The sequence below is a fragment of the Homo sapiens genome, chromosome 20 (genome assembly GCF_000001405.40).
Source record: "Homo sapiens chromosome 20, GRCh38.p14 Primary Assembly".
NCBI lineage: Eukaryota > Metazoa > Chordata > Mammalia > Primates > Hominidae > Homo > Homo sapiens.
Genome location: NC_000020.11, coordinates 1256667 through 1282440, shown reverse-complemented (window position 1 = coordinate 1282440; position 25774 = coordinate 1256667). Strand labels below are relative to the sequence as shown.

The following is a 25774-nucleotide window of genomic DNA, read 5'->3' as shown; positions in this document are numbered from 1 at the left end:
TTCAAAATGTACCATAGTTTAAGAATCGCCCATATGGCATATCCTTTATAAAAAGTATTTTATGGGCTGCATAGTATTCCATTTGATGGGTCTGTCATGGTTCATTTAGCCTCCCTCTCTGTTGAACATTTAGACTTTCTATCAAAAATAATGTTACAATAGGTATCTTTGTGAATAATTATTTTCCTATATTTAGAATTATTTCTTTAGGCTGGTTCCCTGATAATGGATTTATAGGGTCGAAAAGTATGAATGTGCTGCCAAACTGCTTTCCCGAAGGGCTAGGTTGCCTATTGTTTCTCCTACCCATAATGTATACCTATTAGCTGGGTTTTCTACTTGATCAAACCACCAGCACTTAGCCAAAGCCTTAAAAGGCAAAGTGTTCAAGCTCAGACATACAAATCATCCAAGATGATTTTTCCATGTCTCTCCGGCCCTGTGGCAAGTATCTTCACCCCCACCCTCCACCCTCCACCCTCTGCCCCATGGCAATGCAGGCGGGGAACTGAGGCCAAGCTCAGAAATGGCCTAGCTCCCAGATTGAAAGCAAGCCTCCCAAAGCTACTCCCCCTTCTAATTACAGCATTTCCTATCTGTGTGGCAGCTCTGGCATGGCTGTTTCAGTCAATATTTACCAAGTGTCTATTGTGTGCCACTTCCTCCTCTGCCAATAGTCCCATAATCGAAGCACGTGTCACTGAGGGGTTGGGCAGAAGAGAGAGGGGCTTCTCTGCAGAACTCAGAAGCTGGTGCCCTTGAGCAGAGCTCTGGAGGACAGGTGCATAGTTGTTCTCCAGGTACCCAGGAGCTGCCTGTGGAGGAGCATTCCACATTCTGTGCAGGAATAGGGGTTAGCATTTACAGAGTCATGAAGAGTAAGAGAGCTACAGGGGGCTGGGTACTGCTAGACCACACAGTGTAGGGGCATAGGGAGAGTAGAGAGAAGGGCTGAGCCAGCAGAAAAAAGCCTTTTGAGCTTACAGAAAAAAGTTCTGATCAAATTTAAGGTCAAAGTCAGGTTTACAGTTCAAGGTCAAGGCAGGCCTAAGGCTCAAGGTCAGATTTATATTACAGAAGATAACCCTGTACGAGCTCTGCCAAGTATGGACTGGGAAGAGATGAAGAGAAGCACCAGGACAGGTCAGGGATGACGACGTTTTAACGAAGGCTATAGAGGTTAAAATGAGAGTGGAGGTGAGGAGGTGACAGAAGTAAAGGTGGCTTCAAGAGAAATTTAGGAAGTAGACTCTTGAGGGTCCCCAGAAGAGATAGGCTGTAGGGAATGACGGAAAGGGAAGAATTGTGATGACGCCCAGGCCTCTGTGTGGGTTAGCTTCGCTGCCTACTCAATATTCTATCCCTCCTCCCTCAATAATAGAACCTTATTCAGGGGTGGCAATATACCCACCTTAAAACATACAAACACACCCCCCACTCCACCCAGAGTTGCAGAGACAGTTCTGGCCTGTGAGTTGTGAACAGCAGCACCCTGGGCTTGGGAACCTGGCTAGGTGTCTGCTATCCTGCAAGGGCTAAAAGAGGAATGGGCATCATGCCTTCAGAGGCTTGGAGTCTTCCCAGGTGCTAGGAACAGAGCTGGATTCGAAATCGAGGCTTAGTAAACACCTGCTGAGGGAAGTCAGGCAGCCAAACAGATGACCTGACAGTTCTGAGAACCCCATTCCATCAATCCAGGAACCAGGAAGAGGGCCCCTGAGGGAGCTCCATCCTCTCACTCTCTTGGGACAAAGCCTGGTACAGTATGGAGACCACGGTACTTGGGGCCAGGACACTCAGCTCTGCCACTCAGTATGACTCAGACCTAAGGCATACCTCTCTTGACCTCTGGGTCCCTCAGTCTGCCCATGTATAAAGTGGAGATAACACATCCCACCTCATACAGCAGTTGTGACAACCCGACCTCTGCCTTGTCAGCCTCATTTCCCACACACCTCCTTTGCAATTCATCTTGAAAATTCACTGGACTTCTGCCTATGCAGTGCTGTCTTCCTGGAAAGCTCTCCCAAGCCTCTTCAGCCTACTTATTTTCCAAGTTCAATCCAGGCCTGAATGCTTGTGTGTAGCCTCAAGGGAGACAGAATTCACAGCTAGAGCACATCGTGCACCAGTAAGATACAGGCTGTTTACACACATCCCCACCTGTAGACCAGTCTCCCACCCTTTGGGAGTTACTGAGCCTACATGTATATGTGCATGCACACACACACATGTGTGTGTGATGCTGATGAGCTGAGAAAGAGGTCTGGCAGAAGAAGTCACGAGGTCCTCGTCCAGGCTCCACACAGCTCAGAGCAACGCAGAAAAGCTGTGGGCACCGCTCCGGCCAGTCCATGCCCCAATCTGGTCAGTGTGGAGCTCAACAAACCTTCCTTACTGAATAGTTCGCCTCTCCATCTCTGCCTCCAAAAGGCCTTTTGATGGCATTGGCACTGACACACGCTCCTCGCCCTTGCTGTTGGGAGGGTCGGCTGGAGAGCTCTACTCCAGTCTCTCACCCACAGGAAGGCACAGCTGTGCCCATCTTCACAAGATGAAGGATGCTAAGTTACCTTACTCACCCAGGGTCACAGGAATAAAAGGCATCAAGGGCCAGCCAGGCCTCTCTGGACATCAGAGCTGTTTGTGGGCTCTGACACTAAACCTTCATGGCATCTAAGGGACTTAGGCTCCCTGTTTGCAAAATAAGACCTGAGCCCAGGAGGTGGAGGTTGCAGTGAGCTGTGATGGTGCCACTGCACTCCAGGCTTGGTGACAGACTGACAGAGTCAGACCCTGTCTCAAAAAAAAAAAAAAAAAAAGAAGCCGGAGTCTCTCAGGAAACCAGTCTTTCTATCAGTGTCTCTCTCACTCACTCATACACACTGAGCAAGAAACTTCCACGAGGCCCTCTGGGGCAAGCCCTACACACTGGGAGAATGTATTTGCAAAATATATATTTAACAAAGAACTTATATCCAGAATGTATAAAGTACTCTCATACAACTCAATAAGAAGGCCAACAGCCCAGTTTTTAAAAATTAATGGGCAAAATACTTGAACTGATACCTCACCAAAGAGGATATGTGGCTGTCAAATAGACACAAAAAGATGCTCGACATCATTAGTTATTAGGAAAATGCCAATTAAAGCCATAAGGAGATACCATTACGAACCTATTAGAGTGGCTAAGATTTAAAAGACTAACCATACCATGTACTGATGAGGATGTAGAGGAACTGAAACTCCCATAATGCCGCGAGTAGAAATGTCAAATGGTACAGATGCTTTGGAAACACTTGGGCAGTAAAAAGTTACATATATATTTACCAAATGATACAACCATTCTTCTTCTAGGAACTTACCCAAGAAAATAGGAAAGTGTATGTCCATTGAAAGATTTATACACATACATTTATAACAGCTTTACTTGTAATAGCCAAAAAACTGGAAAAAACTAGATGTCCATCAACAAACAGATGAATGTATAAACAAATGATGATTTATCCTTTCTCCATACTATGGAATATGAGTTCGAGACCAGCCTGACCAGGATGGTGAAACCCTGTCTCTACTAAAACTAGAAAAAATTAGCTGGGCATGGTGGCGCATGCCTGTAATCTCAGCTACGCAGGAGGCTGAGGCAGGAGAATTGCTTGAACCCGGGAGGCGGAGGTTGCAGTGAGCCAAGATCGCACCACTGCACTCCAGCCTGGGTGACAGAGTGAGACTCTGTCTCAACAAAAAAGAAAAAAAAGGAATAAACTATTGGTATACACAACATCAATCTCAAAATAATTATGCTGAGTGAAAAAGCCAAACCAAAAATGTGCATATTATATTATTCCATTTATATAAACTACTAGAAAATGTGAAGTAATCTGTACTGACAGAAAGCAGATCAGTAATTGCCTGAGGATGAAGGGGGAGGAAACTTTTGGGGACGATGGAGATGTTCACTATCCTAATTGTGGTGATGGTTTCATCAGTATAGAAATATGTCAGAATTTACCACACTGTACTTTAGATATGTGAAGCTTGTATATCAACTATATTTCAATAAAGCTAGAAGGAGGAGGATGGGAAAGAGTGGAGGAAAGAAAACAGAAAGCATAGCAAACAGGAGTTGTCTTAGGAAGCCAGGCAAACAACACAAACAACACACATACACACAGACACTGACACACATACACAGATACACACACACAGACACTGACACACAAACACACACACAGACACTGACACAGAGACACAGATACACACACACAGACACACCGGCACAGACACACACACATAGGCACACACAGAGACACACACAGATACACACACAAACAGACACACACATAGGCACACACAGAGACACACACAGATACACACACAGACACACACACACAGGCACACATACACAGACACACATACATAGACACTGACACACACACAGACACACAGACACGCCACACACACAGATACACACAGACATACAGGCACAGACACACACAGGCACACACGCAGACACACACAGGCACACACACACACAGATACATACACAGACACATCGGCACAGACAGACACACAGGCACACACACGGACACACACACTGACACACACAGATACACAGACACACAGGCACAGACACACACAGGCACACATACACAGGCACACACAGAGACAGACACTGACACACACACACACAGACACACGACACACACAGATACACACACAGACACACAGGCACAGACAGACACACAGGCACACACATGGACACACACGGACACACACAGATACACAGACACACAGGCACAGACACACACACACAGGCACACATACACAGACACACACAGAGACAGACACTGACACACACACACAGACACACGACACACACACAGATACACACACAGACACACATGCACAGACAGACACACAGGCACACACACGGACACACATACAGATACACAGGCACAGACAGACACACACACAGGCATACACATGGACACACACACAGGCACACATACACAGACACACAGACACAGACATACACACACATAGACACAGACACACACAGACACAGGCACATACACATACACACACAGAGTATGAAACTCCCACATGGCCTCTAGTCCCAAGGAGTCCCTCAACCCAGGATTCCATCTGATAGGGACACCAAAGCTTCTTGTCATTTACTCAACATTTTTCTAGAATGTTTCTGTGTACCTGGTTTGTGCTGGGTACGGGGGTTCAGAGACAAATCAAACAATCCTTGCCCCAGGAAATTATTTCTAGCAGCCGTGGTATAGCCTTCCCCAAATTCAACCTAAACATTTCGCCACATGCCCCTAATATCCCAGCCAGATTCCCTTTCCAGGATCCCTTGGAGTCCTTCCTCCTGGGCCTGATTTTGTTTCTACCCTTGCCACCTCTTGGGAGAAAGCCTTCAATTAGTTCACAACTCCAGCAGAAGTCTGTCTTTTATCTGTGCAAAACAGACATCCAAGCCGAACCCCAACTGATTTCTAATAATTGACCAACGAGATCTGAGTCAAGTCTTCACAGAATCGCAAAAATTCTGGACAGGAAAGAATCTGAAGGTTTCAAAGCCCAACATCCATCTGACTGAAGTTCTGTTTCTCGGAATAACATTCCTGTTCTGCAGTCACCCGGACCCAGTTTGAATACCTCCAGTGAGGAGGGAGCTCACTGCCAAATGAAGATGTGTTGGCACTTTGGGAAAGTAGGGAAGTTATAAAGTGATTCCTATACAACACGGATGAAAGGGTACTGGCATTTATTAAGCACCTACTGTGTTTAATAAATAAAGCCCCTGGGCTAGGTAGGGGCTTTACACATAGAAGATTTCTAATCTAGTTTAATTCTCATGCCAGCTTTGCTGTCAGGAGGCCTACGTTATGATTATGATGCCCATTTTTACTATTGAGGTACTAAGGGTCAGATAAATTAAGTGACTTGCCCAGTCACAAAGTCAGTCCACGGCAGAGACGGAGACAGCAGTCCAAGTGTATCCAACTCCAACCTGCGCTCTCTGTTCCCAACCACTCAGAGAGCAGGGCAAGGGGGCCAGTGCTGCCTAGGCTTGGATCCTGGGCTTTTTCATCTGGATGGCTGGCCTCAGGGATTCCTTACAAAACTGACCTCTACCAGGCCTAACAACCTCTGAGGGCTTCTCTCTCAAACACACGGCCCCAGAGTGAGGAGCCCCCCTCCTGTGGAGGGGGAAGGGGCTCTCCAGAAGGAAGCCACAGACAGTTGGCTCAAATGGTCTACAGCTCCAATCTGGGCCCTGCGTGCCACCCAGGGAGGGCTGGTCTCTGCAGTCAGGGAACAGGAGGGTGTGGAGGGGTCAGGTCCTCTCCATCCTCTGAGAGCACAGAGCTTAGGCTGGTGACTAAGAGCCTGGGCTCTGTGAAGGAGCTGTGGGAGTTGGAAGTGGGTCCCCTGAAAGACAGTGTTTGAGCTGGGCCTTGAGACAGATCTGAACATGAGGAGATAGCAGTAGTAGTAGGAAGAAAATTTCAGGCAGAGGAAACAGGGCAAGTAAAAGTAATTGAGGTAGAAAGGAATGGCAGGGAGGAAATACTGCTGACTTGGGGTAGAACACGTCCAAGGGTCACTCAGGGACTTTTCTGAAGTCATAAACTATCAAAATGTCCTTCTCTAGCTCTTAGACCACCTCACTCCTATCAGGTCCAGGGCTAGCAACCTTGGTGTAAGAGCCCAGCTAAGCTTTGAGGAGGAAGGAATGCCCATTCACAGGCCTAAGAGAACAGAAATGGGGAGAGGAAGAGAATGAGAAAGCAAAATGAGGGGCAGGGAGAGTTTGGGCCCTGGAATCAGGTATTTGGTAGCTCAGCCACCATGTAACAGCTGTGGGCCATGGACAAATTGCTTAAATTTCCTATAACTCAGCTTCCTTTTCTATAATAATGCTTTCCTTACCTGGGCTGTCAGGAAGATGCTATAAGGTCACATATCCCCTGTGCCCGACATGTAGTGTAGCTGTTTTCATTAACCTGGACAAGAGTCGGGACTTAGAGGGTCAGAAAAGCAATCGAGGCCCATAGAGACAGGAGGAAGCAGTGTTCGTGGGGACATCTGCTATATACCAGGCTCTTTCCCACAGGGGACCACAACAGATCATCCCGTCTCCTCTCAGGCAGGAATAATCGATTTCTCTTTGGCAGATGAGAAAATGGCCCAGGGGGTAACACAATTTGTCTGAAGTCCCAGGCTAACAAGTGGCAGAACTGGAAATGAGCCAGGCCTGGCTCTGAGGAAGCGAGTGGCTCCCAGAAGGCCCAGGGTGGCTTAAATGGATGGAGCTGTGGCTCCTCCCCCTTTGGCTCTGAGCCCCAAAAGTGAGGCAGGTGGCCACTGCCAGAAGACGTAGTTTGCCTCATGACACTTGCCTCACAGAAGAGGTGATGTTTAGCGCACCCCTTCTCCCTCTGGGGCTGCACGTCCAAAGTCCGCCACTTCTGAAAGGGAGGCTGGAAGGGAGGCGAATCTTACAATGCATACAGAGGGGATGTGTGGGAAGCAAGACGGGGGAGGTGGTGCCAAACTGGCTGCCTAATGAGGCTTTGGGAAAGACGCAGGACCCAGGATTTACTGTACCTCTGCTTCCACCATTTTAAAAGCCAGAAAGGACAGGGAGCTGCCCTTTGCTGAAGGGCACCAGACCGATGGCCTAGCCAGACTAGAGAGCTCAGTGTCCTCAGACTCACAGTCCTTACACAGTCCTCTTCCGCTCCCTTCCCGAGTGCCAGCCTTTAGATCCTTTCTAGTTCCTCCTCTTCCTCCGGGAAGCCTTCTCAGATAGTCTCAACCTACAGCTATTCTTTCTCCTGGGAATGCCAGCAGCACCCACTGCTTGCCTCATCTGTGACCAGCCCTATACTAGGATTCCAGATCTTCTGGGTTACAGCTGTCAAGCACAGCCTTTCCAAACTCCATCCTATGGCAAGAATTCCTCCTAGAACATCCAGCCCTATGTGAGCAGCCCAGAGATGAGGTGCCAGCTCTCAAAACACATTGTTTTGTTACTAGATTTTTTTTTTTTTAGAATTTTCTCCCTTTCATCCCTTGAACTGAGCCAAAATTTGCCTTCCTTGCTGGCACTTGCAAGGACTGGTCTGGTATCTATCTCTCAGGGCATGCAGAAGCCCACACTCTCTCCCATGCCTGCACTTTGAATACCTTTACCCCTGAAAACTGCTATCCTGTCACTACGGTGCGGGAAGCTACATCCTGTATACCTGTGTCAGAGTCCCCACCCCACCACTTGTGCTTATATAACTTTGGGCCAGTTTCTTCTTTCTAGTGGTCCTAGTTTCCTCAACTATTAAAAAACTTCCTATCTTAGCAAGCAGCACAGTGCCTCACCTGTTGTGTGTGTTCAACAAATGGTAGTTATTTATTTTTTGTTCACCGATCACTTCTTTAGAGGCAGTATGGCTTAGAGGGAAGAACGCAGCTCTGATGCCAAAGAGACTGGCATCTAAGTGTAGGCTCTGCTACACAGCCGCTGTGTAACCTTGAACAAATTTCCTCCCCTCTCTGAGTCTCAGTGTCTTTCTCTATAAAACAAGGATAACATATGCTAAGTGGGCCCGGATTGGTTGACTGCTTCTTTTTTTCTCCGTCCCATCTTTACGTTGCCTTTCTTCTGCATCTGCCCAATTTTCCAGGCTACGAATAATGCAGCTATATCACTGTGTGGCAGGCACAGTGCTGAGTGCTTCAGATGAAGATTCAGTTCAGTTCCCATCCACCCTCTAAAACAGGTGCTATGAGGGCTAGCACCTCATACTCAGAAGACACACAGTCAAATGGCAGCTGTTGTTAATATTTCTATGTGTCAGGCCCTGTGCACCACCCACATTCCTTCCCTCCAACCAACCTAAACAGCTCCCTGAGGGTAGGGACCACATCTTGGTGCCTGTGTGTACAGCAGATCCTCAGTATATGTTGGTTGAATGAATGGTTGTAAATACTTCTTTGAATTCCTTCACCGTGGCCAGAATAGAACCTTACCATGATAGGTGCTTGATGAATATTTGATTAACTGGAGCCACAAAAAATGTGAACTGTCATCAGTGGCTTTAATCTGAATCCTAGAAGGCCCTGAAACCGTGGTAGGGTTTCTTCTGCTAATTAAGAGCTCCTCTGAGGTCCTTCTCTAAGAACACTCTAGGCTCTCTTTGCAACCAGATCCCAACTTTTCCTCTGCAGGGACCATGTGTCAGAGCTGTCCACAGAGAGACTGCTTGCTGTCCAGACCACAGCACAACCCAAGGAGAGGGTGGCAGAAGCTCTGCTGCAAGGCCGGCGTGGCTTCCAAAGAACAGGAACTACCCCACCCACTGAGGACCTGCCAGGAGTCTCTCTGCACCCCTCTTTCTCAAAGGTGGCTTCTGTGCCAGGCTGCACAGGCCACCAGCCAAGTTCCCTCTTCTGAAGCTGCCGACCAAGCTTCCAGAGACCCTGTGGTAGGGAGGCGTGGCTAGGGCCAGCTTCAAGGGGTACAGAGGTATCTGGAGGCCTCAGTCCCCAGAGACTCAATCCTGACAGTGCTGCCAAAAGGGAAGGGGCACCATCAGGGCCTTTGAAGCTGGGGGAGCCAGAAGCAGAAGATCACAAGCTGCCAAAGTCAGGCTAAATGCCCTAGCCATGCAAACAAGGCATTCCCTGGCCTAGGCTGCCTTTCCAGCCTTCCTTCCTTTCTCTGCCTTCATCTGTGGGCCAGCCAATAATGACTGAGCACTATGTGCCCAGCATCTAAAACTTTACATCTGAGGTCACAGACGGATGGCCGGTCACATACACATTTTAATATGTGCATTTAAAAATATTGCCTAATCAGCTACATTTTAAAAATTAGGAGATGTCACAAACAAATATGCAGATTTCTGTCTTATAAATCAGAAGATCTGACAACATTGGGCACATGTTCTTGTAGGCAAGAATGGTGAGAGCAGGATAGCAGCTGCCTCTTTCAAGCAAGCACTTTCCAATGTGCTACAATCCCCAAACAGCCCAACTGGCCTGTTTTACCTTTGTAGACAACTACATTTGACATCCCTTGCTTAACATATTTCATTTTGGTGTAAAGTCTTCCTAATGACCTTAGGAGACAACATCATTTCCCAGTTTTACAGGTGAGGAAACAGAAGCTCTGAGGGAAAAAAATAACTGGGCCAAAATTCAAACCCCAGCAGCCCAATTGCAGAGCCAAACACGAGAACACGAGTCTGTGGCAAAAATGAGGAAAATACAGACAATGCAGTGAGTTTTTAACAAAGCAAAATGTATTCAATTTGAAGGAATACCATTTTCCCCCTGATAACATGGCCTTCTTACTTGGGGGAATAGAAATATTAAAATGTTCTTTCTCTTATTTTATGATAGTGATGGTAAAGAGGACCCTAAGTGTCATCTGAATGTCCTCGTCTGGTAAAATAAAAAGCTAGCTAACCGAGGATGGATTCCCAAATGCACTGGTCTTTGTGAAATCTAAGTCCAAGACCCACTGCTCTGCTACAGACTTCCTGTCCCAGTATGACAGCAATCTTCTGTTACTCCTCTTGGTTAAAACAAAAAAACAAAAACTCATAACTTCATCTAACCATGTCTGCATCATTCTATTTTTGAAGAGGTGGCTTTTGAACTGAGTCTTTCCCAACCCCTCTCCCTCCAGCAAATCCACAAAGCATTTGTTCATGCCTTTTGTTATATTTATCTTATTCTTCCTCAAGTAACAATTATATGTATCCTATCCACCCTTTTACCCCCTAAAGTCATTACAGAACAGAAGAAAGACACTTTGGGAGGCCAAGGCAGATGGATTGCCTGAGGTCAGGAGTTCGAGACCAGCCTGGCTAACATGGTGAAACCCCCTCTCTACTAAAAATACAAAAATTTTCTGGGCATGGTGGCGCATGCCTATAGTCCCAGCTACTCAGGAGGCTGAGGAAGGAGAATCATTTGAACCCGGGAGGCAGAGGTTGCAGTGAGCCAAGATCATGCCACTGAACTCCAGCCTAGGTGACAGAGTAAGACTCTGCCTCCAAAAAACAAAAAGAAGAAGAAGAAGAAAGAGTTTCTGAATTGTTAGCCACTCAGAGCTAGAAGGGCTCTTAGATATCATCACCTCTGACTCCCATTTTGCAGGTGTGGAAAAGCAAAGGGTCTGACCTAAGGCCACCCAGTGGGTCAACGGCAGAGCTGGGGTGAGGACCCAAGTCTACTGACTCCTCGGTGCTGGCTCTTCCTGCTGTGCCAGGCTGCTTTCCAGCCACTCCCTTTTGGTTGGCTCAGCCCCTCAATTCAGAGGACAGTGCTGAGTATGCGACAAACACGTCATAAATATCTGTCCATTAATGCAAAGCAGCCTGGGGTGCACAGGCCTCAGCCTCTCCATGGCCCTTGGCTTGAGCTTCACATCACCTGCATCGAGACTTCCCACAGCACCAGCTGCCCATCAAATGGAGAACTGGCACCTGGGGCTTCTGGTGGCCTAGATGTAGAAAGACCCCATGTGGCTTAGAAATGCAATCCCCGTTAGGCCAGAGTTATGAACCAAGCCCTGCTGAGTAATCTTAGGCAAATGACTTCACCTCTCAGGTGTTAGGCGTTCCTCCAGACAGGTGGGATGCCTAGAATAGACATGAAGAAGAATTCCCCAAGCCTATCAGATGATTATAGGCACAAGACAGTCTTTGTCAGAGGAATTTCAAAATCCTGCTTCTAGAAGGCTTTAAGGACAGGAAAGGTTCTGGTCTACCTGGGACAAACAGATAGTTCCATCAAAATTGTGTTACAGCGTGAGCTTGGATAGTCCCCTAGACTCCATGTCCACCTTCTAGATTGATGAGGACAGGAGCCAACAAGTCTTTAGGGCTGTTTGGAAACATTCTAAATCGAGTAGAACCCTTTACTATTATTATTAAATTATTATTCACAAGCTCAATGCCAAAAATAGAGATGACAATGGCATCATCTCTCTAAAGCCTTCCTGACCCACTCAGTAGGAAAGATCATTCCCCTCTCTCTGTCCCCCCACCCCATCACACACATATCAGTATGTCTTATAGCTTCCAGATGTTTTCTCATATCTACACGTTTAGGTGTCTGTCTCCCTCTGTTAGATATGAGCTTCTTGAAACTAGGACTCACAATTTACTCTTTCCTGCATGCTATGCACTTAGCCCAGGGCCTAGCTAATAAATAAGGACAAATGCTGGTCAATGTTTAGCAAGTTAAGGAATCCCCTCCACCTCCAATACTGGAACAAGGGTGCATGTAGGCCTTTCGGAGCCAGTAGATGCATGCAGATCATTTGAGGGATGGGAACTCTTGGAGGGAAACTGGCTGACCCAAGGTTATTCAGTTATTGAGAGGGCTCAGACTAAAAGCAACCCTTTGGACACCCAGTCCAGTGCACTTCCAGCTAAACATTTTCTAGGTTCTATGATACACTGGTTGTACGACTCTGGGTAAGACCCTTCGCCTCTCTGCCCTGGCTTTCTCACTTATAAAAATGGGTAAATTTATATATAGTGCCTACATAATGGGATGATCTGAGCAGTAAATTATTGAACCTGTGTAAAACAGAGCACAACACATAAGAAGACTAAAAAAGTGTGTCTGTCCTGACTGTCATTCAGGCCTAACCATTATCCTCGGTAAAGGGGCATCCACCAAACATCAGCAAAGCAGGGCTCACGGTGAAAGGAAAACTCTCCATTCCTGGTTCACACAGTTTTCAACCAGGAAGTACCCTGCACCAATCACCTGGGAGAAATGCCTGATCTCTCACCGTAAATTGTTCACAGCTTCTTCTTCTCCAAACCCCTGTTCCCACCTGCAAGTGCACACACAGCTCACAGCATCAGCAAGGTATGCATGAAGAGGCAGCGAAACCTTTGGAAGGGGACGATGCAGACAGACCTGGTGTCGGATAGCAGTTCTAGCCGCGCAACCCTCAGCAAGTCACTTAGTCTCTCCAAGCCTCAGTCTCCCCATCTTTGAAATGGTCATAATTTTCTTTAAGGATTACCTGAGACAGTTAATGGTCTGGGACTTCATAAATGACGTTGAGGGTAATCATAGTTGTCTGATTTTTATTTAACAAAATCCACTCGACAGAATGTCAGAAGCAGAAGGGGTCTTAGAAATCACTTAGTCCAGTCCCATCATTATATAGATGGGCACACAGAGGCCTTGAGGGGAGGCCTGACTGGCCCAAGGTCACATAATAAGGCAGTGGTTCAATGGGACATGGGACCTGGGTCTCCTGACTTTCTACTGCATATCCATGTTGTCCCACTTGATTCTAATTACCTGCTCTCCTCCCTCAAACACAGAAAATGGCTAGAATCATTCCCTTCCCAATCCTCCTCCCTTCACAGTCATCTCACACCAGCTGGCACCATCTGGATCCCTTTTTGCCAACATCACCACCCTCCCAGGCACATCTGGCCCCTTTTGGTCTAGTCAGGAGCCCTAGAGGAGTAGGCGAAGCATCTGTTAATCACCAACAATAGCAATAATAACAGTAGCTGTAATAGCAATAATAATGACAACCAACAACCTGGACGATGTCCTACACTAAAAAGGGCTTTCACCTACATAATCAACACATTCCTACAGTTTCTCCCTAACCTAGTTGGCTTAGGGACATAATTTCCTCAAGTTTGTTTCATTCAACACTTACGGAGCACCTACTTTGGGCCTACTCATGGGCCAGAGGCTGGAGATAGAGAAAGGAAAATGATAGGGCCTCTGCCAAATAGGAATTTAGGGTGGGGGTGGGGGGACATGACAACTTCTTTTGGCCCAAATGGTGCAGCAGCAAAATTCCCCACCCAACCCTATGGAGAACCTCCTTTATCATGCTGTCAAAAGGCAGGAGGTATCTGGAATAAAGAGGAGCGAGAAAGGCTTGAGTGCTAGGCTGAAAATGACAGCAGGAAGGAAGATAAAGAATCGAAAATACAAGCACCAAAAACTTGACTGCCTGGCCTCAGGGTGACTCTAGGGAGACACTCCAGGGAGGGCAAGAGAGCCACAGTGGGATTCATGTGAGATCCGGAAGACCTGATCCCTGCCCTGCTGCCAGCACACAAGAATCTGCTGCTTCTGTTCCCTCAGAGACTCCGCCCTTGGATGCCAGGATTTTCCAAACCCAATGCTGGGCTACAGTCCTCCTTGGGACCATCATTTGCTAGAATGATGTCACAACCTTTGCAGTGGAAATGTTGCTGCCTGCCTAGGCCCTCAGCCTGGTGACCCAATACACTTCAGCATTCATTACCCCTGGCAGGGACACCATCTGCAGGGGTGTGGAAGAGACAGGCAGGGGATGGGGAGGAGAACAGGACTAAAAGCAGTCACCTCTTCCTCTCTTCCCCCAGCCTATCTCCCAAGTCCTGAGTTCCTGAGAACCTACTATGTGCCAGGCACAGGCACTATTTTAGGTGCTTCCACATACATCTCATTTAATTTTCACATCAGCCCTCTGCGGGCTGTACCCCTAGATTTACAGATGGAGAAACTGAGGCTGGGGGAAGGGAAGTCACTTGGCAGCTCAGGGATGTCAACATAGGACTGTCTGGCACCTCCAGCTCCTTGAGGCCCACAAGGTCAATGTTTCACTTAAGAAGTCAGAGTTGAAAGAGATCAACTGAGGAAACCCCAATTATTTCATGAAACTAAATTTAAATTGCCTTAGCAGAGGGGTCCCCCTGACATGTAAAAGCTGCTTGAGTGATATACTAAAATTATACACATCATTTAATCCAATTCCTGCATCTAACAGATGAGCAGACAGACACCCACGCCTAGAGAATTTTAAAATGGCTACTTGTGGCCAACTAGCAAGTTAAGGGCCTAGAACCCCAATCTCTGGCACTTTCCTTACACGACTCTGCCTGCAGAGATCACCTTTTTCTAAGAAGCTCCTCCAGCCCATCCCGACACCACCAGATGGGCAGAGAAGGCAGAGGAAACGGGCAGCATGTGACCGGCCTCTCTTTCAGTCTGCAGGGTTGGGGAAGGGAATATGGGGCTCCCCAGGCTAGTAGGTGTTGCAAACAGCCCAGATCCCGGCTGGGGAGTGGAAGGCTTCACATCCCAGGGAAGCTCCGGGGAGACGGAGGCTCAGATCGTCCACTCTAGGACTTATGGGCATTTTTTCCCCAGATCTACTGCAGGGCCCTGATGCTTCTCAGAGGGAAAGATGGGATGGAAGCAGTCATTGGCACTTGACCTTGGGGTGGGGGTGGGGTCTCATCCTTCTCCCACCCCCAGGTACCCCTGCTCCTCCTCCAAGAAGGAAAAGAGAAGCTTAAATGTTTGCCAAATGCCAGAAGGGGAAGACAAATAAAATTGGGGGGTGGGTTCCCTAAAAGCCTCCTAATCACCCACTTTGGGCATCTTCTCTGCTGCAATCAGCACCCTCTAATTCTTACATTTCAGGGAGGGGGAGGGAGGGAAGCGCTTAAAGGGATGTAGGGGAATGAAGGGAGGGTAAGAATGAGTCACGATTAACCCCTCTTAGGCTGGTGCCCTCCAAGGGATTCTACCGCAGCGAGCGGTTGCAAGCGGCCCCCACCTGCCGCGGTGCAGCGCAGGGCCAGCTCCCCGCTCCGCCGCGGCCTCCTCACCTGAGTCCACTGGCCCTCCGCAGCCCCGCCGGCTCGCACCACTCCGGCCCGGCTTGGCGCAGCGCCTCTGCAGTCGCTGCTGCAGCCGCCTGGCCCTGATCAGCGACCTGCGGGGTTAGGAAAAAGAGATAGACCGGGGCGGGTGAGCGCGGGCGGGGAACACCCAGGCAGCTGAGCCCCCGGCCGCTGACAGCTGGGCCGCTGCAGCCAGAAGGCTTGGAGGGCAGGCTGCCTGCCGGGTGCTCCGTCCCCTCCTCCTCGCGGCCCGCGGCCCCCACCCCACCCCCTGGCACTCGGCACTCTGGACTGCGGCGGGTGCAGCTGGGCGGTGGGCCCGGAGATCCCCGGGGTCCTTGTCATCACCTGCGGAGGCTTCCATGGCTTCAGCTGCCCTGCAGGGGCCGCCGAATTGCTCTCCCGAGCCCCTGCAGGAGGCGGCTAGCTGGGTGCTCGCCGGGGCTGGGGCTGCCGGGAGGGAGGGGCGGGGAGGGTGAGGTGGATGGAGGGGACCAGCCAGTCGGCGGCTCGCCGGCAGCTGCGTAAGCGGCCCGTCTTTACTTTCCTTCTTAAAGAGATAGTTAGTATCTTGCTCTAGAGGGCCTGGGAACAGAGACAACGAGCACACGGGGAGCGGCGGCCTCTCCCACCTACACACCAGCCGGTATTTTGAGCTGGGCGATCGATTGGGCGTGGTGGAAAGCGTCTTGGTCGGCTGTGTGACCCTGTGCAAGTCCCTTCACCTCTCTGGGCCTCAGCTTTTTCTTCTCTAACATGGGGTGATGATACCAGTCTCACTCCCTGGCACATAGTTGGCTCTAGTGAAATAGTAATTTTTATCTAAAAGCCTTTAGGAACATTTTTCATTGCCCAAACCAAGTCTGAGTACCAGGGGTATTTAATGTGAATGACAAGCACTTGGGCTACTAACAATGATAGCAGGAATCTTAAGTGTCTGAAAATGGAAATGTTTTCCTCTTAAGTAGTAAAAAGGTGAATCATTGGAAAGATCTCGGAGAGATAAACAATCACAACTTAAAATGTTAATTGTGGCTCTTTTCCCTCTGTCTTCCATCTGTCACAGGGAAAACAAGAAGACCAAAAAGTCCAAAAAACTGGATTTTCTGCCTAGCCCTTCCATTTCTAGCCATACAACTTTAGATAAGTTAACTCACTTTCTGGGCTTGGTTTCTTATCTGCTTCATGTGTGGGAAGTAGGTGGAGTGGGAATGGGCTCCTTCTTTCTGAACCAGGCCTGTCTGATCTGTCATTACTCTGCTCTAAACCATCCAGTGGTTTTCTGTATCGCTCTCCGCCACATGCCCTCATCTTACTCCAGCTCTCTGACTTCATCTTGCGTGGCTCTCCCCATCACTCACTTTTCTCCCATCAAGCTGTCCTTCTTGCTGAGGCCTCACTGCTGGGCCTTTGCATTTGCTGTCCCCTTTGCCTAGAACACACCAGAGAGCCACATGGTTCAATCCTTCCTTTCCTCCAGGTCTCTGCTCAAATGTTACTGTCTCAGAGAGGGCTTCCTTAACCATTCTACATAAAATACTAACTCCCTCCTCTCCACCTCCTTTGCCCCTAGTTTTGCTACACTTAATTACCAGCTGACATAGTGTATATTTACTATGTGTCATTTATCACTCCCACTAGAATGTACACTTCATGAGGGAAGGAACTTTGTTTTTTTCCCTTGCTGTATTTCCAGTGCCCAGAGCAGTGCCTAACACATAGTAGGAGCTCAATAAATATTGACTAAGTGAATGAGAAAGCAAGCACACATTGTGCCAGGCCCCAGTCTTCTATGGGAACACTAGGCCAGATGCCATCCTGGAAGTCCTTTTGTCTTAAGTCTCTTAAGGCTCTTAAGTCCTTAAGTCTGTTTACTCTCGCCGGTGCTGAACTTGGTACCCTCTACTCTCTGCCCCAAGCTGACTTTTCCAAGAGAAGAATTTGTAAAGTGACTTCACTGATTTACATCATGACTCTGCAGTACTGGCCTGGTGAGAAACAGTTAATATTGATAATGTACATGAAAAAATAATTATTTTAAGTTTACTGTTGCTTTTCACAGTCAAATCTTTTCCTGTATCTCTGAGCTGCAATAAATCCATTACTTTTTTTGCAACAAATGCTAATAAATTTTGGAGAGGACATTGATTCTATTTTCTCCTGTATTCCGTTAAACCATATCCTATCAGATAGCCATTATTATATTATGTTTTCTAGAAAAACATGGCAGAGCAATTTAGCAGGAATAGGAAACTAGTTGAAAAAGCCATGTGAAATGTTGAGGTCTTCTGTCCAAAACACCTAATGCTATATTAGCAAGTTAATTGATAAAATGTTTTATCTGCTCTAATGCTCACTGAAATTATATAAGTGACATTTTTACACTTAAAAGTGAAACCAAAGGAAGCCATGTAATTATTACATGTTTAGAAGGAGAACATTTCTGAGATTGTCATTAAAATATTTTTTTGTCTGTTCCCATGCTGTTTTGTTTATTAATAGAGATGGGGCTTTACTATGTCGCCCAGGCTGGTCTCCAACTCCTGGGCTTAAGCAATCCTCAGCCTCCCAAAGTGCTGGGATTACAGGCTTGAGCCACCATGCCTGGCTGTCCCATCCTCATGTGTGTATGTGTGTGGGGTTTTGTGTGGGGGTTTTTTTGGGTTTTTTTTTTTTTTTGCTTGGTACTTAGAAGACTACATTTCCCAGAAATCTCCACAAGGAACTTCCCCAAAGCAAGACAGTGACTTCACTCACATTACTCCCATCTGGAATGGTGTTAGCTAGTAAAGTATTCTCTTTATCATCAGGAAGCAGATGATTGAGAAGAGAACTGGTGTTTAGTTATAATGTAAATTGCAACAAATGAGGATTATAAGTATAAAACAAAATTATTCCTAATAAATTAGTAATTTTGTTTTGTTTTGGACTAGTTGAAAATACATTAAAAATTTTTTTAGTTTCAAAAACAATTGTATTCCAATTCTGGCTAAGCATACTCTCCCACAGAATGCAGCAATAAAACCTGAACAAAATGCATGTAGCAGCTATTTGAGGATTCTGAAGACAAAATACTAGCAGGCACACTGGGGAAGAAGCCAGAATTTGATATACCCTACCACTGAACTAGTGGTGAATTTATCATCTTTATTTCTTCCTATAACTCCTGTCCTGGTCTCAAGGCAGATCAAAATCTGGAATTGGGGCTCAATAAAGAGAAAGCTCCCAAAGAATCTCCCTAGTTTTGACTTGAAGATCAGGAAAAGGGACTTCTGATGCGCAGAGTATGTGGGAGATATCATTGTTCTTTTCCTTTCAAATCTTTTCTCCATTGTCTCATGACCCAGGCCCTAGGCCATCCTGCAGTGGTGTCTGTGACAGCAGGAACCCACAGGTGCCTAAAACTCTGAGGGAGGAGAAACTTCTTCAATAAAAGTAGCTGTAGTCCTGAGGGAGGGTGAGCCCCTGTTGTTGTTTTTTTGTCACTGTCCTCCTACCTCCTGGTCCCAGATGCAAGTTCAACTGTGGAAAGTAGGCAGCAAAGTGGAACAGAGTAAATAAAGCTCCAAACTCCAGCATTCTGGTGAACCCCAGAGAGAATAAATCAAATGATGATAATGATAATAATAATAGTTTTCAGTTACTGCTGAAAATTAAAAACAAAACAAGATCTTTAAAGCAGTCAGAGAAAAATGATGCATTAATAATACAGGAATAGGCTGGATGCAGTGGCTCACACTTGTAATCCCTGCACTTTGGGAGGCCAAGAGGCAGATTGCTTGAGCCCAGGAGTTTGAGACCAGCTTGGGCAACACGGCGAGACCCCACCTCTATAAAAAATACAAAAATCAGCTGTGTGTAGTGGCGTTTGCCTGTAGTCCCAGCTACTCGGGAGACTGAGGTGGGAGGATTGCTGGAGCCCGGGAGGTCGAGGTTGCAGTGAGCTATGACTGACTGTACCACTGCACTGTAGCCTGGGTGACAGAGCAAGATCCTGTGTCAAAAAAAAAAAAAAAATACAGGAATAATAATTTAAATAACTGTTGATTTCTTATCAGAAACCATGGAGGGCAGAAGAAAACAGAACAATTTTTTTTAATTGCTTAAAGAAAAGAGTTGTCAACCAGGATTTTGTACCCAGCAAAAATATCCTTCAGAAATGAAAGTGAAATAAACACATTCTCCAATTAAGGAAAATGAAGATAATCCATTGCCAGCACACTTGCTCTAAAAGAACTACTGAATTAAGTTCTTCAGACAAAAGGGACATTACATTAGAAAGAAATTTGGAACATCAAGAAGGAAGGAGAACAAAAATGGTAAATATTTGAGTAAATGTAATAGGCTATTCTTCTCTTGATCTTTTAAAACATGTTTGACAGTGGAAAGCAACAATTGTTGATGGGGGTTCAATGTGTGTAGATAAGACTAGTACAATATAAAGGAGGAGTATGTATATTCCTTTACAATATAAAGGGACCTATATGGTGTAAGATTTTTACACTCCTCTTGAAGTGGTAAAATATCAATTCTAAGTAGAGCATGAAAAGTTAAGTATGTATTTTGTAACCCCTAGAATAGCTATTTTTAAAATCTATGACAAAAAATATAGTAAAAAAAAAAAAAAAAAAACACCATAGGCCGGGTGCACTGGCTCATGCCTGTAATCCTGGCACTTTGGGAGGTAGAGGTGGGTGGATCACTTGAGGCCAGGAGTTCAAGATGAGCCTGTCCAACAGGTCTCTATTAAAAATATAAAACTTGGTCTGTACTAAAAATACAAAAATTAGCTGAGTGGGGTGGTTGTATACCTGTAATCTCAGCTACTCAGGAGGCTGAGGCATGGGAATTGCTTGAATCCAGGAGGGAGAGGTTGCAGTGAGCTAAGACTGCACCTCTGTACTCCAGCCTGGGCAACAGAGTGAGACTCTGTCAAAAAAAAAAAAAAAGAAGAAGAAGAAATAAAAATGGAATTCCAAATATTCCAAAAGAAGACAAGAAAGGGGAAAACAGAGGAATAAAAAATAAAGGGAACAAACAGTAAAAAAAATAAAATAAAATCCAAAAATCCTAAATAAATAAAATCTGAAATCCAAAAATGTCAATAATTACATTAAATATAAGTGATCTAAACACTTCAATTAAAACAGAGGTTATCCGAATGGATAAAAAAATGACTTTATTTGATGCAGTCTATAAGAAATTCACTTTAACTATAATGAATGATATAGGTAGGCTAAAAGTAAAAGATAAAAAAAGATATACCATACAAATACTTATCAAAGGAAAGCTGGAATAACTATATTAATATTAGAAAAAGTAGACTACAGAGCAAAAAATATTACCAGGAATAAAGAGAATTATTATAAAATAATAAAAGGGTCATTTCACCAAGAAGATGTAATAATTATAAATGTATATAACCTAATAAAAGAACTTCAAAATATATAAAGCAAAAACTGACAGAATGGAAAAGAGAAATAAACAGATCCACAATTATAGCTGGAGACACAAACACTTTTTCTCAGTAATTGATAGAACTAGTAGACAAAATAAACAAGGATGTAGAAGAACTAAACAACACTATGAACTAACTAGGTCCAACTGACATTTATAGAACACTCCACCTAACAAATGCAGAACAGAATTGATCCTTGAACAACACAGCTTTGAACTGTGTGTGTCCATTTCCATGTGGATTTTCTTCTGACTCTGCCATCTCCGAGACAGCAACACTAACTCCTCTTCCTCCTTCTCCTCCTCAGCCTACTCAGTGTGAAGACCATGAAGATGAAGACCTTTATGTTGATCCACTTCCACTTAATGAATAGAAAATATATTTATCTTCCTTATGATTTTCTTAATAACATTTTCTTTTCTCTAGCTTGCTTTATTGTAAGAATATAGTATATAATACATATACAACACATGTGCTAATTGACTGTTTATGTTATAGGTAAGACTTCTGGTCAACAGTAGGCTATTAGTAGTTAAGTTTTTGGGGAGTCAAAATGTATACACAAATTTTCAACTTAGTATAGGGTCATAAAATAAATCTTAATGAATCTGAAATAATTGAAATCATTTAAAGTATGTTCTCTTACCATAATGGAATTAAACTCAAAATCAATTACTGGAAATATCCCTTCGAAACTGAACATCCTATACCTCCAAATAATTTGCAGGTAAAAGACCTGCAAGTCTCAAGGGAAATTAGAAAATATTTTTAACAGAACAAAAGTGAAGATACAACGTATAAGTATCTGTGTGATGCAGCTAAAGCAGTGCCAAGAAGGAAACAGAGCTTTATGTGTTTATATTAGAAAAGAGGGAAGATCTCAAACCAGTTACCTAGAAGGAAACAGAGCTTTATGTGTTTATATTAGAAAAGAGGAAAGACCCCAAATCAGTTACCTAGAAGGAAACAGAGCTTTATGTGTTTATATTAGAAAAGAGGGAAGATCTCAAATCAGTTGCCTAGAAGGAAACAGAGCTTTATGTGTTTATATTAGAAAAGAGGGAAGATCTCAAACCAGTTACCTAGAAGGAAACAGAGCTTTATGTGTTTCTATTAGAAAAGAGGGAAGATACCAAATCAGTTACCAAGAAGCAGAGCTTTATGTGTTTATATTAGAAAAGAGGGAAGATCTCAAATCAGTTACCTAGAAGGAAACAGAGCTTTATGTGTTTATATTAGAAAAGAGCGAAGATCTCAAATCAGTTACCTAGAAGGAAACAGAGCTTTATGTGTTTATACTAGAAAAGAGGGAAGATCCCAAATCAGTTACCTAGAAGGAAACAGAGCTTTATGTGTTTATATTAGAAAAGAGGGAAGATCTCAAACCAGTTACCTAGAAGGAAACAGAGCTTTATGTGTTTATATTAGAAAAGAGGGAAGATCTCAAACCAGTTACCTAGAAGGAAACAGAGCTTTATGTGTTTATATTAGAAAAGAGGGAAGATCTCAAACCAGTTACCTAGAAGGAAACAGAGCTTTATGTGTTTATATTAGAAAAGAGGGAAGATCTCAAACCAGTTACCTAGAAGGAAACAGAGCTTTATGTGTTTATATTAGAAAAGAGGGAAGATCTCAAATCAGTTACCTAGAAGGAAACAGAGCTTTATGTGTTTATATTAGAAAAGAGGGAAGATCTCAAATCAGTTACCTAGAAGGAAACAGAGCTTTATGTGTTTATATTAGAAAAGAGGGAAGATCTCAAATCAGTTACCTAGAAGGAAACAGAGCTTTATGTGTTTATATTAGAAAAGAGGGAAGATCCCAAATCAGTTACCAAGAAGGAAACAGAGCTTTATGTGTTTATATTAGAAAAGAGGGATGATCCCAAATCAGTTACCTAGAAGGAAACAGAGCTTTATGTGTTTATATTATAAAAGAGGGAAGATCTCAAACCAGTTACCAAGAAGGAAACAGAGCTTTATGTGTTTATATTAGAAAAGAGGGAAGATACCAAATCAGTTACCAAGAAGCAGAGCTTTATGTGTTTATATTAGAAAAGAGGGAAGATCTCAAACCAGTTACCTAGAAGGAAACAGAGCTTTATGTGTTTATATTAGAAAAGAGGGAAGATCCCAAATCAGTTACCTAGAAGGAAACAGAGCTTTATGTGTTTATATTAGAAAAGAGGGAAGATCTCAAATCAGTTACCTAGAAGGAAACAGAGCTTTATGTGTTTATATTAGAAAAGAGGGAAGATCCCAAATCAGTTACCAAGAAGGAAACAGAGCTTTATGTGTTTATATTAGAAAAGAGGGATGATCCCAAATCAGTTACCTAGAAGGAAACAGAGCTTTATGTGTTTATATTATAAAAGAGGGAAGATCTCAAACCAGTTACCAAGAAGGAAACAAGAGCTTTATGTGTTTATATTAGAAAAGAGGGAAGATACCAAATCAGTTACCAAGAAGCAGAGCTTTATGTGTTTATATTAGAAAAGAGGGAAGATCTCAAACCAGTTACCTAGAAGGAAACAGAGCTTTATGTGTTTATATTAGAAAAGAGGGAAGATCCCAAATCAGTTACCTAGAAGGAAACAGAGCTTTATGTGTTTGTATTAGAAAAGAGGGAAGATCCCAAATCAGTTACCTAGAAGGAAACAGAGCTTTATGTGTTTGTATTAGAAAAGAGGGAAGATCCCAAACCAGTTACCTAGAAGGAAACAGAGCTTTATGTGTTTGTATTAGAAAAGAGGGAAGATCTCAAATCAGTTACCTAGAAGGAAACAGAGCTTTATGTGTTTATATTAGAAAAGAGGGAAGATCTCAAATCAGTTACCTAGAAGGAAACAGAGCTTTATGTGTTTATATTAGAAAAGAGGGAAGACCCCAAATCAGTTACCTAGAAGGAAACAGAGCTTTATGTGTTTATATTAGAAAAGAGGGAAGATCTCAAATCAGTTACCTAGAAGGAAACAGAGCTTTATGTGTTTATATTAGAAAAGAGGGAAGATCTCAAACCAGTTACCTAGAAGGAAACAGAGCTTTACGTGTTTATATTAGAAAAGAGGAAAGATCTCAAATCAGTTACCTAGAAGGAAACAGAGCTTTATGTGTTTATGTTAGAAAAGAGGGAAGATCTCAAATCAGTTATCTAAGCCTCCACCTTAATAAAACTAGAAAGAGCAAAATAAGCCCAAAGCAAGCCAAAGGACAATAATAATAAATGTAAAAGCAGGAATAAATGAAATGAAACAGAAAGCAGAAAAACAAAAGAGAAAATCTTTTAAAAGATCAATAAAATTAATAAGCCTCTAGCACAACTGAAAAGAGAAAACATATTAACAATGTCTGAAATGAAAGAGGGGTTATTACTATGGACCCCACAGACATTAAAAGGATAATAAGGGAATACTCTGAACAATTCTACACACATAAACTCACAAAAGTAGATGAAATAGACCAATTACTTAAAATAAGAAACTACCCAAACTCATTCAAAATGAAATAGGTAACTGAATAGTCCTACAACTAAAAAATTAAATTCATGGTTAAAAAAACTTTACAAAATATAAATATCCAGATCCACATTGTTTATGGGTGAATTCTATCAACTATTTCAAGAAGAAATAACACAAATATACACAATCTATTGTAGAAGAATAGAATATGAAGAAACACTTTCTAAGTTATTTTATGAGGCCAGTATAACCCTGATATCAAAACCAGAAAAAGACAGTAAAAGAAAAATACAGACCAATATCAGATGCAAAAATCCTTAATAAACTATTAGGAAATCCCCATGAAAGGATATTCAACATAATTAGTCATTAGGAAAATGCAAATCAAAACCATGAGATACTCACTAGGATGGCTATAATTTTTAAAAAGGAAAATAACAAGTATTGTCAAGGATATTAAGAAATTGGAACTCTGATATATTGCTGGTAGAAATGTACAATAGTGCAGCTACTTTGGAAAACAGTTTGACAGCTCCTCAAAAAGTTAAACATAAAGTTATCACATGACCTGGCAATTCCATGCCTAGGTATATAACCAAGAAAAATCAAAACTTATATACACAAAAACTTATATACTAATGTTGATAGCAGCATTATTCATAGTAGTTAAAAAGTGGAAACAATCAACATGTCCATCAGCTGATGAGTGGATAAACAAAATATGGTATATCCATACAATGGAATATTATTTGGCCATAAAAAGGAATGATGTAAAGATACATTCTAAAACATGGATAAAACCTGAAACTTTTATACTAGGTGAAAGGACCAGATACAAAAGGCAAAACATTGCCAGGAGTGGTGGCTCACACCTGTAATCCCAGCACTTTGGGAGGCCAAGGCAGGTGGATCATTTGAGGTCAGGAGTTCGAGTCTAGCCTGGCCAACATGGTGAAACCCCATCTCTACTAAAAATACAAAAACATTAGCTGGGCATGGTGGCATGCCCCTGTAATCCCAGTTACTCAGGAGGCTGAGGCAGGAGAATTGCTTGAACCTGGGAGGTCGATGCTGCAGTGAGCCAAGATCGTGCCACTGCAACTCCAGCTTGGGTAAAAAAAAAAAAAGGCAAAACATTGTTCAATTCCATTTATGTAAAATAAA

The 25774-nt window shown here is 44.0% G+C and overlaps 1 protein-coding gene across 13 annotated transcripts in view, besides 4 other annotated features; it reads right to left on the bottom strand.

Annotated features, from left to right (window-relative positions):
* The window catches only part of SNPH (syntaphilin), a 43034-nt gene extending 26887 nt beyond the window's left edge, over positions 1-16147 (bottom strand). For 11 of the 13 annotated variants that reach the window (XM_047440614.1, NM_001439257.1, NM_001318234.2 and 8 more), the window contains exons 1-2: positions 16044-16147; positions 15681-15787 (exon numbers count right to left, since the gene is read on the bottom strand). The gene's annotated coding sequence lies outside the window, so the exon portion shown is untranslated. Of the gene's footprint in view, positions 1-15628; positions 15788-16043 lie in introns of all 13 variants that reach the window. The other 2 variants (NM_001439261.1, NM_001439264.1) reach the window with 1 other exon arrangement.
* Positions 6370-6570: a silencer, noted in NCBI's record as "peak4117 fragment used in MPRA reporter construct". NCBI's record gives its function as "represses an SCP1 promoter by STARR-seq MPRAs in K562 erythroleukemia cells {active_cell/tissue: K562}" and the evidence as "EXISTENCE:reporter gene assay evidence [ECO:0000049][PMID:32103011]".
* Positions 15652-15731: a silencer, noted in NCBI's record as "silent region_12589". NCBI's record gives its function as "represses an Ori minimal core promoter by ATAC-STARR-seq in GM12878 lymphoblastoid cells {active_cell/tissue: GM12878}" and the evidence as "EXISTENCE:reporter gene assay evidence [ECO:0000049][PMID:35858748]".
* Positions 15832-15911: a silencer, noted in NCBI's record as "silent region_12588". NCBI's record gives its function as "represses an Ori minimal core promoter by ATAC-STARR-seq in GM12878 lymphoblastoid cells {active_cell/tissue: GM12878}" and the evidence as "EXISTENCE:reporter gene assay evidence [ECO:0000049][PMID:35858748]".
* Positions 16312-16461: an enhancer, noted in NCBI's record as "active region_17456". NCBI's record gives its function as "activates an Ori minimal core promoter by ATAC-STARR-seq in GM12878 lymphoblastoid cells {active_cell/tissue: GM12878}" and the evidence as "EXISTENCE:reporter gene assay evidence [ECO:0000049][PMID:35858748]".